Consider the following 13,099-nt stretch of genomic DNA (forward strand, 5'->3'; position numbering starts at 1 on the left):
ACCTTGAACTTCTCAGCCTCCATCACTGTAAAAAATTAATTCTTTTCAGTATAAATTATTCAGTGCCAGGTATTCTGTTATAAGCAATAGAAAACACTAAAACAGATTGATAAGGAAAGAAGTAAACTCGACATATTTGGGTAAAATTTACATACTAATGATAAAGAGAAAAACAGGTTAATAGAAAGAATGGATTATTTTAAAAACTAAAAGAATCTGTCATAGGATGGCTCAATATCTGCCACACTGAAAGCTAAAAAACCTGAAATAATATCTATAGACTACTGAAAGAAAGAAGATTGCATTCCAAAGAGCCTATGCCCAATCAAAATATTAATCATCCCAAAGACATGTGAAGATTCAGAAATTATGTGGCTCATATGCTTATTCTGAAGAAAATTATAGGTGAAGTGCTGTTACCAAATAAAAATTAAATAATTTGTTTTACTGGGAAAAATAAATGAAATAAACATAATAAAAAAAGAATATTGGTGTATATTGTTGTTTCTTTTTTTTTTCCGTTTTTTTTTTTTTTTTTTTTTTGAGAAGGAGTCTCACTCTGTCACCCAGGCTGGAGTGCAGTGGTGCGGCCTCGGGTCACTGCAACCTCTGCCTCCCAGGTTCAAGTGATTCTTCTGCTTCAGCCTCCCAAGTAGCTGGAACTACAAGCGCACGCCACCACACCCGGAAATTTTTTTGTATTTTTAGTAGAGACGGGATTTCACAGTGTTAGCCAGGATGGTCTCAATCTCCTCACCTCATGATCTGCCCTCCTCAGCCTCCCAAAGTGCTGGGATTACAGGTGTGGGCCACTGTGGCCAGCCTATTGGTAAGTTTCAAAAGGTTATAGCTAATGTGATCAGAAATTTGTAACGTAAAGTTTAAGTCAAGGTGTCAGACATTGTTGCTAGTCAACAATATACAGTTCTTTCCTGGACACATGCTTCCTTGGGAGGACTCTGCTTTCTTAACTCCTTGGTGAGGCATGGCCATGTGACTTGCTTTGGTAAGTAGAAGCAATCTGTGCCTCTTTCATGGAAAAGCATTTATTTGCCATCTTCTGTTCTGCAATGTGTTCTTCTCCTCCTGCAAAATGAAAACATGTATTGATGTGACGATGCAGAATCTCACATAAAGGGCAACTACCCTGAGACTCACCCTACACCTGGTGTATTAGTCCACTTTCACATTGCTGTAAAGAAATATCTAGAGACTGGGTAATTTATAAAGGAAAGAGGTTTAATTGACTCAGCTCTGCATGGCTGGAGAGGCCTCAGAAAACTTGCAATCATGGTGGAAGGCGAAGGGGAAGCAAGTTTGGACCTTTTTCACATGGTGGCAAGAGAGAGAAGCGTGTGAGTGAAAGGGGAAGAGCCCCTTACAAAACCATCAGATCCTGTGAGAACTCAGCCACTATCATGAGAACAGCGTGGGGAAAACTGCCCTCGTGATCCAGTCACCTCCCACTGGGTTCCTCCCTTGACACATGGGGATTATGGGGATTACAAATCGAGATGAGATTTGAGTGGGGACACAGAACCAAGCATATCACTTGAGAAATAAATAAACAAAGCTTCGTTGACTATAGTATAATCTGGATTTCTCTCACCAATATAGTACTATTTCTTGAAACTCATATACTCTAAATGGACACCTAATAATGGCCTAGTACTTAGTGTTCTAAATCGTCTCAGCAAAACCTGGAACAGATGTGGAGGTGGGAGAGAAAGAGAAGAGGAGTGGAGGCAAGAAACAATGAATGTGGGAAAGTAAGATAATTTAAAGGTCTCATCTGGGGAGACAGAAGAGAAAACTGAAATAAACTTACTATTTTCTTTTAATATTATAATGGAGAAATATTGTTTAATTAGAAAAGTAAAAGGAACTACTTACAGAATTGAAAATTACAGTAGCATGTTCAAATGAAAATGGAATAAAGGAATAAATTGGAGCTTGAACAAGCCAGAAAAAGTAAAATGAGGGAGAAAAAAGCAAAAACAACAATAAACATAAACAAAGGAACACATAAGCTTAAAAAGAGTGCTTTCAATAAAACCAATTAAATCTATATTGATGCAATCCAAACATGCTGAGTTATGCTATAAAAATCCTAGACTGTTAAATAGGGTTCTAAAAACTAACCCCAGTTATATTTGTTTACAGGTAACAAATTAAGCAGTAAAAAAAAAAAAGTTGAAAATGAAAAGAATAAACACAGATAAAGAAATTTCAAACGAGTACAAGAAGAAGTAAAAACATATTACCAGAAAGAGGATTTCAAGGTCAAAAGCATCAAAAATAGAGAAAAAAAGTATTTAAGAATAAACTGTGTAATCTACATAGAAAGTATAGCAATATTCTCTTAAGCATCAAATTGTATTGCAGTTATATATATATCAAGCAAACACCCCTAGAAATAAAAGGTCAATGCAATAAAAGTACAATTATAGTGTGAGGTTTTAATACACCACTTTCAGAATTTGACAGGTCCATCAAACCATGAATAAATACAGAAGACACAATAAACAAGCTCAATTTAGCATACCCATAAAAATAGTATTGTTCTTCATGTTATGTATTGCTATTCTGTATCTACAAAGGAAAATTTAATAAGATTTCAATAAAATACATATTTGGCGGGCAATATTTCCTGCTCGATTGTGATATAAGAAAGCTTGAAAAATAAGCAAAGTATTAAACAAATATTAATTATAAAGACACTGAGGGACACCTTCTTAAAAATCCATGATAAAATGGCAAAACCAAAACTGATATTGTGATTTATCCAGAAAGAGAATCATCCACTCAAGAAGCAGAAACCTAATAAACACAAAGCAAGATGCTCAACTTTCAGGGAAAAGCAAATTAAAGCAATAAATACATACCATATTTTAGATATTAATTTTAAAAAAGGAAGTGCAATACATTCAATGCTGAGGAATAACAGGATGAAAACTGCTTTCTCATACTTCACTGTCAGAACTACAAACTAATACACTTTTGTGAAAAATATATAGTATCCTTTAACCATGTTTAGAAATAACTCTATATCAGAAATTGAAATAAATACTTAAGATTATATTTTAAAGATTTCTGGAAGTATTTCTGTGAAATAAAAGACCAAGGAATATCTGAAAAACCCATTAAGAACAGAATAAAAAAATTAGTTGTGTTACATTTATTCTATGCAATACTATGCAATTATAACAAAATAACTTTGGAAAAGAAGTGTTTCTTTTGATTTAAAGGAATATTGATGATGAATTGTTGAATAGGAGAAAGAAGTTGCTGATTAATGTTATATAATGTTGATCCTATTTCTGTAAAATCAAACAATAGGCCCACATATTCTTAAAAAACTCCTTCATATGTGCATTTTTATATGACAGTGGAAATGTGAAAGAATACACAAAAGCTGTTAATAAAATATCACAGTGTAAGCATGAAAATGGATATTACAAGTTTAGACATACATTATTTTTGAGAAATTTCAAGAGAAATTTTAAAAATATAAGAGATTTCAAATATCTGTAGTAATCAAGGCATAAATGTCTTAAAATGCACAATCTTTGGAGTTCAATATATTTGACTACTTAATTAATAAATATATTCTTATTATAACTTTCTTTTTAAATGCTGCTTGCTAATAACTGAAACATGGACAAATGCAAAATAATCCTGTGACTTCACAGCGCTGAATTAGATCTCAACTGTAAATGGCTCTCTCTCCTTACAGCAAGCTATTTCAATCATTGCAAACTTTTAGAACAAATTGAATAGTGACTTCAATTTTAATTTAATTTGTATTAATATAGCTCTTTTTTGTTTCATAGAAAGTGTATCATTCAGAATTCAATAAGAAAAGTAAATACACTAAGGAAAAACAAACTATACGTGTGTGTGGGGGTGTGGGTGTTGGTGTGGGTATATATATATGTAAAATACACTGATATGTTATATATAATGTATATTATATACTGGAATATATAATTGTATATTATTAAAACTATACATTTTTTGCATATTTTATACCATAGTTAAAAAACTTCTATAAGACAAATCCCTTTAGTAAATCCATATATGTGGTTAAGCAATCTCTGCAAGGCTGCTGTCTTCACACCTGATGCTAGTCCATAGAGCCCATAGCCAGAAAGTGAGATGGATATAAAACAAGGGAATTCACAAGGTTAAAAACCACATACATGAGGTGGAATTCCATCAGTAAGATTTGAAACCAGCAGTTTCTTCTAAGAGCATGGTCTGAGTATCCTGCAGAAATTGAGGACCATCCTCATGGAGCTAAACACAATACACCATGACTTGTCAGAGAAGCTGAGAGATTCAGGAGATAACAAAGCAGTTGCAAGTCCAGCAGTTGATTCAGGCCACCAAGGAGAGTCTACAAATCAGCAACAATTGGTATGAGCTACAGAATGTCTGCTGTTTCCTTTCTGTCCTCTAAATTTCCCAAGAATATCCCTTGTAAGTCACCTAAATGGAAATATACAAAAGGGAATTCTAGGAAACATAATTCAGCTCAGCCAGTTTGACACATGAAAAAGCCACCACAAAGTATATATGGTTTTAGATAAGAGCATGGCATCTGAAGAGAGACTACCCAAGTTCAAATCCCTTCACCACCAGTTACGAATTGTGTGAACCAGGAAGTATAATTGTTACTTACTATAATTCGAAACTTTTAAAATAATAAAGTCTGAATGATATGGTTTTTATTAACATGAAACTTTCTCTTTAGTTTTGTCAGCCCAATTTTCTTGCCTTGTGGAAGACATGATATTCCAAACCATGGGTTGGAAAACAATGACTCATGGACCATATATGCCATGTGGCCTGTTGTTTTTTGCTCACAAGCTAAAATGGTTTTTATATTTTTAAAGGTTGTGAAAAAATGAATATATTACAGAGGCTATATGTGGCCTTCAAAGCCTAACATATTTACTATGTGCCTTTTTAGATAAAGTTTGCCAATCCCTATTGTAAAAAACCAGTGCTAAGTAATAGAACGTGAACCACAAATATGAGTCACATATGCATTTCTAAATTTTCTAGTAGTCACATTTTAAATAGTATAAATGAGACAGGTGAAATTGATTTTTATTTCTATTTTTTATTAACCCAGTATCTCAAAAATATCTCAATATGCAATCAATGAAACATTATTAATAAGATATTTTAGGACATTGGCAAAATGGCAGAATGTTAAATCCCCTAGCATCTCTTCAAACAAAAATACAACTAAAAACTATTCCAAGGCAAGAATACCATTCTGAGTTCACCAGAACTCAGTTGAGAGAAGTGGAAAACCACCCCCAGGCCAACAGAATGGAGAGAACCCACAACTGGTAAGAGAAACAGTCACTTTGGAGCATCAGCCATGCCCACATAACACCACTCACAGAGAATTTCCCTAGAACCATAGTTTCCAAGGGAAGAGGAGGAAAATGGAGGTGGATATTTGATCTCCCCAGCAGTTTGGGAATTTTTATAGAAAGCCAACTCCAGTTGCATACATGGGAAACACTGGGAGTGCCATGAGGGATAACCCACATGGAGTAAACTGGGGACAGAGAGGACACTGATAGTAGTGAAGAGCATGCCGATCTTGGCAGCTACTCTGTGCTCTTATCAGCAGGGCATCATGTGGAAGAGACTGGCTAGTGCTATGCCACTGTACGAGGCACAGTCCACAAGAAGGCCCAAATCCCTGGCCAGACGTTCAACAAAGCCCAGATGCTCCTAGGGAGCCGTTTTCTGGCTTGGAACTACTAAAAGATCAGGATTAAGTTCCAATTCCTGCTTAAGGTTTCCCCAGACTAGTAAACAATGAAACGGCATCAGTACAATTCTGGGGAGACATTTATATTCCAGTGCTCACCACAAGTCTCCTCCAGACTGGGAAAAGATACCAGGGCAGCGATTTAGTTCCAGAGCAGAGTTTAAGGTTTGGTGTTCATTGTGAGTTTTTTTCCAGACCAGAAAACAATGACAAGGCAGTAAGTTAGTTCCAAGGCAGTGTTTTAGTTCTGCTACTCACTATGCGTATTCTTCAGAATGGAAAGAAACAACGGGCCAATGTTTAAGTTCCAATAGTAAGGAGTAAAGTTCTAACACCAGCAAAGAACACTGCATAAAATGAAAGAGGTGGTTGCCTCCTCTAACGCACAGGCATCGATGTAAAGATGCAAGGATCATGAAAGCTCGTGGAAACATGGTATCATCAAAAGAAACCAACAAAACTCCAGCAGTTGGCCCCGAAGAACTGAAGATCTATGAAATGTTAGACATAGAATTCAGAATAAGGATCTTAAATAAGTTCAGAAAAAAATAAGAAAATGCAAACAGAAAATTAATAAAATTTAGAAAATAATCTGGGAACAAAATGAGAAATTTGACCAAAAAATAGAAATCCCAGACATAAAAAATACAATAACTAATGAAAACATTTATTCCAATGCTCTAACACCACACTTGGTCAAACAGATAAAAGAATTAGCAAGTTTGAAGATAGAATATGTGAAATTATATAGTCAAAAGAGGGAAAAAAAGAATTAAAAAGAGGGGAAGAAGGCCTATGAGAATTGGCCTTGATGTGACATGATCAAACAAACTAACCAACAGATAATAGAAATTTCTGAAAGAGATGAAAAGTCCTAGAAAACATATTTAAGGAAATAATGGCTGAAGAATTTCCAAATCTGGAGAAAAATGACACCATCCAGGTACATAAAGCTCAGAGGACACCAATCAAATTCAACCTGAACAGGAAATTCCTATGGCACATCATAATCAAATTAGCAAAAATCAAGGACAAAAAGAATAAATACTCAAAACAGCAAGAAAAGATAAATATATTACATTCAATAGAGCCCCAGTACAGCTTTCTGCAGATTTCTCAGCAGAAGCTCCGCAGGCCAGGAGAGAGTGGGATGCTGTATTTAAAGTGCTGAAGGAAAAACTACCAGCCAAAAACAGTGTACTAAAAAAGCTATCCTTCAAACATGAAGGAAAGATAGTCATTCTCAGACAAACAAACGCTGAAAGAATTCACCAACACCAGATCTATCTTACCAGAAATGCTAAACTAGGTTTTCAAACTGAAGGAAATGGAGGTTACTGTGTAACAAGAAAACATCTGACCATATTAAATTAACTGGGGGAAAAAAATACAGGCAGGCACGGCAGCTCATGCTTATAATTCCAGCACTTTGGGAGGCTGAGATCAAAGGATTGCTTGAGCTTAGGAGTTCAAGACCAGCCAGAGCAATATGGTGAAAGCAACAAAAAATACAAAAATTGGCCAGGCATAGTGGTGTAAGCCTGTAGTCCCAGCTACTTGGAAGGCTGACGTAAGAGGATCACTTGAGCCCAGGAGGTTGAAGCTGCAGTAAGCCACAATCACACCATTGTACTCTACCCTGGGTAACAGAATGAGACCCTATCCCTAGCTAAAAGCAAAATAAAATTGAAAAAAGGCAATTCAGAATACTCTAATACTATAATTAAGGTAAGAAAACCACTTATATCTTAAGTAAGAAGATTAAAAGACAAAACTATTATAAATGATTATAACTACAAAAATTGATTAATAGATAAACAATATTAAAAGGTGTAAATTGTAGCATCATAACCTTCAAAAAGTCAAAATATGGGAGGGAGGATTTGTGTTAAAGTGTAGAGTTTGTTTTTGTTACTTTTCTTTGCAATTAGTTAAGTCATAATCAGTTTAAAATAATCTGTTTTAAGATTATTTGCAACCCTCATGGTAACCACAAAGCAAAAACCTATAATAGGTGCACTAAAAATAAATAACACAAGATCAAAACATACTACTAGAGAAAATCACTTAACCACAAAGGAAGACAGTAAGAGAGGAAAAGAGGAAAAAAAGGATCTATACAACAAACAGAAAATAAGAAACAATATGGCAGTAGTAAATCCTTATCTATCAATAATAAGCTTGAATATAAATGGATGAAATATTCCAATTAACAGACATAAAGTGGCTGAATGGATAAAAACTAAGACCCAACAATATTCTGTCTACAAGAAACTCACTTTACCTATAAAGACAAGTACAAACTGTAAGTGAAGAGAAGGAAAAATATATTCATGCAAGTGGTAACCAGAATAGAGCAAGAGTAGCCATACTTAGATAAAATGCAGTTTAACACAATAATGGTTTTTAAAAGTCCATTCTACAATAATAAGGGGATCAAAAGCAAGAGATACCCTCTTAAACATAATATAAGAGGATACATACATACGTGCATAATTTATAATTATAAATACACAGGCACCCAACAATGGAGCACCCAAGTGTATAAAACAAATATTAATAAAATTAAGGGAGAAATTGATCCAGTACAATAATAATAGGGAACTTCAACACTCCTCTTCCAACAATGGGAAGATCATCCAGACAGAAAGTCAACAAAAAACGTTAGAGTTAAACTGAACTTTAGACCAAATGAACTTAACAGACATTAACAGAACATTCTGTTGAACAGCTGCAGAATACACATATTTTTCTCAACTGCACATAAAACATTTTCTAGGATAGACTACATATTACAGCACAAAAAAGTCAACACATTTTTTAAAAACTGAAATTATAGCAAGTATCTTTTCTGATCACAATGAAATAAATCAAGAAATCAATGTCAGAAACAACTTTAAAAACTGTACAAATTCATGGATAATAAACAACATGTTCCTGAATAACAAATGGGCCAATGAAGAAATTAAAATAAATTTTAAAATTTCTTGAGACAAACATAAATAGATATACAACATAGCGAAACTTATGGAATACAGTGAAAACAGTTCCAGAAGGAAAGTTTAAATGCCTACATCAAAAAAGTAGAAAGACTTCAAATAAATACCTAATGTTGCACCTCTAGTAAGTAGAAAAGCATAAACAGAACAAACCCCAAATTAGTAGAAGGAAAGAAATAACGAGATCAGATCAAAAGTAAATGAAATTGAAACTAAAAAAAAAAATCAAAAAACAAAAAGTCTGTTTTCTAAATAAACAAACAAAATTAACAAATCTTAAGTTAGACTAAAGAAAAAAGGACAGAAGACCCAAATAAATACAATCAGAGCAAAAAAGGAAGCATTAGAACAGATACCACAGAAATACAAAGAATAATGAGACAATTAAGAATAGCTATACACAAACGAATTGGGAAACCTAGATGAAATGGATAAATTTTTGGACATATGCAACCTGCCAAGATTCAATTATGAAGAAATAGAAAACCTGAGCAGATAATAATGAGTAATGAGATTTATCAGTAATTGTGTCTTCCATCAAAGAAAAGCCCAGGATCTTACAGCATCACTGAGGACTTTTACCAAACTTTTCTATTCTTATGTTTATACTAATACCAATTCTACTCAAACTATTTCAAAAAATTGAAGAAGAGAGAATACTTCCAAATATATTCTATGAGGCCAGCAGTACCCTGACACCAAAACAAGACATAAACACACAAAAAGCAAACAAAAAACTGCAAGCCAATATTCCTGATAAAAACAGATGCAAAAGTCCTCAACAAAATACTAGCAAACCAAATTCAACAGCATATTAAAAAGTCTAATTATTATGATCAAATGGGATTCAAGAATGATTCAACATATGCAAAAAATAAACTTTTTACATCATATTAACAGAGCCAGCAATAAAAGCCATAAAGTCATTTCAATTGATGCTGAAAATAATTCAATAAAATTTAATATCTCTTTGTGATAAAGACTCCCAACAAACTGGCTCTAGAAGGAATATATCTCAAAACAATAAAGGCCATATATGATAAGCCCACAGGTATCATCATGCCGAATTGGGAAAAACTGAAAGCTTTTTATCTGAGATCTAGAAGATGGCAAGGACGTTCACGTTCTCCACTTTTATTCATCATAGTACTGGAAGTTCTAGCCAAAACAATTAGGGAAGAGAAAGAAATTGGAAAGGAAGAAGTCAAATTATTCTGGTTCTCAGACAACAGGATTCTAACCTAAAGATTCCATCAAAGAACTGTTAGAGCTGATAAATGAGTTCAGTGAAGATGCAGAACACACACACACAAAATGTACAAAATTAGTAGCATTTATACACTCCAACAGTGAACAATCTGAAAAAAAAGAAAACATCCTGTCAGATTTATAGTTTGTGAATATTTTCTCCCATTTGCAGGTTGTCTGTTCACTTAGTTGAATATTTCTTTTGCTGTGCAGATGCTTTTTAGTTTAATTAAATCACATTTGTCTATTTTTGTTTTTCTTGCTTATACTTCTGATGTCTTAGTCAAGAATTATTTGCCTAGACAAATATCTGGAAGAATTTTTCCTAAATTTTCTTCTAGGATTTTTATATTTTCACCATCCTGGCTAACATGGTGAAACCCCATCTCTACTAAAAATACAAAAATTAGCTGGGCATGGTGGCGGGCGCTTGTGGTCCCAGCTACTCGGGAGGCTGAGGCAGGAGAATGGTGTGAACCCGGGAGGCAGAGCTTGCAGTAAGCCAAGATCATGCCCCTGCACTCCAGCCTGGTGACAGAGCAAGACTCCATCTCAAACAAACAAACAAAAAATTATTCAAACTGGAAAAGAAGTCAAATTGTTCCTCTTTGCTGATAATGTGTTCTTACGTCTAGTAAAACAGATTTGATAAATACATTTAATTCTTTAATAGAACTTGAGTTGATTATTGTACATGGTGAGAGATTTAGGTCCAGTTTCATTTTTCTGCTTGTGCCAATCCAATTTTCCCAGCACTATTCATTGAAAAGGTTGTCCTTTCCCTGTCTATGTTCTTCTTAACCTTGTCAAAGATCAGTTAGCTGTGGATATGTGGCTTTATTTCTGGTCTCTCTGTTCTGTTCCATTCATCTGTGTGTCTATTTCTATACCAGAACCAGGTGTGCTGTTTACCATAGCTTTGTAATATAATTTGAAGTCAGGTAATATAATGCCTACAGCTTCGCTCTTTTTGTTTATGATTGCTTTGGCTATTTGGCTCTTTTCTGGTTCCATATGAATCTTAGGATTATAATTTTCCAATTCTGTGGAAAATGACATTGGTATTTTAATAGGGATTGCATTTGATCTGTAAATAGCTTTGGTCAGTATAGTCATTTTAACAATACTAATTCTTCTAATTCAGAAGTATGGGATTTTTTTCATTTGTTTGTATTCTCTTCAATTTTTTTCATCAGTGTTTTGTAATTTTCCTTGCAGAGATCTTTTACCTCTTTGGTTAAATTTATTCCTAAATATTTTATTTTTTTAGGTAGGTATTATAAATGAGACTGCATTCTTGAATTTCTTTCTTGGCTAGATCATTAATGGTGTATAGAAACACTACTGATTTTTGTATGTTGATATTGTATCCTGCAACATTACTGACTTTATTTATCAAATCTGTTTTACTAGACATAAGAACATATTATCAGCAAAGAGGAACAATTTGACTTCTTTTCCAGTTTGAATAATTTTTTGTTTGTTTGTTTGTTTGAGATGGAGTCTTGCTCTGTCACCAGGCTGGAGTGCAGGGGCATGATCTTGGCTTACTGCAAGCTCCGCCTCCCGGGTTCACGCCATTCTCCTGCCTCAGCCTCCCGAGTAGCTGGAACCACAAGCGCCCGCCACCATGCCCTGCTAATTTTTGTATTTTAAGTAGAGACAGGGTTTCACCATGTTAGCCAGGATGGTCTCGATCTCCTGACCTCGTGATCTGCCCGCCTTGGCCTCCCAAAGTGCTGGGATTACAGGTGTGAGCCACCACGCCCGACCTTGAATACGTTTTTATGCTTTCTTTTTCCTGATAGCTCTGCCTAAGACTTTTAGTACTATGTTAAATTGGAGTGGTGAAAATGGGTATTCTTGTCTTGTTCTAGTTCTGACAGAAAAGGCTTTCAACTTTTTCCCATTCAGTATGACATTTGCTATGGGTTTTCCATATATGGTCTTTATTACTGTTAGTTATGTTCCTTATGTGCCTACTTTATTGAGAGTTTTGAACGTGAAAGGATGTTGAATTTTATCAAATGCTTTTTCCCCATCTATTGAGATGATCATATGGTTTTTGTCTCTCATTATGTTAATGTGATGTATCACATTTATTGATTTGCATATGTTGAACCATCCCTGGTATAAATCCCACCTGATGGTGATGTATTGTCTTTTTAATATGCTGGAATGCTGTTTTTTAGTATTTTGTTGAAGATGTTTGCATCTATGTTTATCAGGGTAATCAGCCTGTAGTTTTTGTTGCTGTTGTTGTTGTATCCTTGGTTTTGGTATCAGGGTAATAATGCTGACAGAATGGGTTAGGAAGAATTCTCTCCTCTTCAATTTTTTTGAATAGTTTCAGGAGGATTATTGTTAGTTCTTTGTATCTTTGCTAGAATTTGGCTATGCATCCATCCAGTCCTAGGCTTTTCTTTCATAGGAGGATTTTTATTACTGTTTCGATCTTGATACTTGTTATTGGTATATTTAGGGTTTTGGTTTTTCCTGACTTAATCTTGGCAGGTTTTATATTTCCAGAAATTTATCCATTATCCAATTTCTCCAGTTTTCAGCATATAGTTGTTCATAATAATCTCTCACAAACATTGGTATTTCTGTGATATTAGTTGTAATATCTCCTTTTTCATTTCTGATTTTAGTTATTTGTGTCTTCTCTCTTCTATTCTTGGCTAGTGATTTATCAATTTTGTTTATCGTTTCAAAGAACAAGCTTTCTGTTTAGTTGACCCTTTTAATTTTTGTCTCTATTTCATTTAGCTCTGCTCGAATCTTCGTGATTTTTTGCTGCTGCTAATTTTGGTTTTGGTCTATTCTTGCTTTTCTAGTTCCTTGAGATACACTGTTAGATTGTTGATTTGTAAACTTTCTACTTTTCTGGTATAGACACTTATTGCTATAACCTTCTCTCTTAGCACTGCTTTTGCTGTATCCCACAGATTTTTGGTATGTTGTGTATTCATTTTCACTTTTTTCAAGAAATTCTTAAATCTGCAACTTAATTTTTTTGACCCAATAATCATTCAAGATTTTGTTGTTTAATTTC

At 34.3% G+C, this 13,099-nt stretch overlaps 1 long non-coding RNA gene across 1 annotated transcript in view; it reads right to left on the reverse strand.

Annotated features, from left to right (window-relative positions):
* Nucleotides 1–504: 504 nt before the first annotated feature.
* The window catches only part of LOC105377198 (uncharacterized), a 29,720-nt gene continuing 17,125 nt past the window's right edge, over nt 505–13,099 (reverse strand). Inside the window, exon 3 of the long non-coding RNA XR_941033.3 lies at nt 505–1,086. This is a non-coding gene — a long non-coding RNA (uncharacterized LOC105377198). The remainder of the gene's footprint in view (nt 1,087–13,099) is intronic.

Source organism: Homo sapiens, chromosome 3, assembly GCF_000001405.40.
Source record: "Homo sapiens chromosome 3, GRCh38.p14 Primary Assembly".
NCBI lineage: Eukaryota > Metazoa > Chordata > Mammalia > Primates > Hominidae > Homo > Homo sapiens.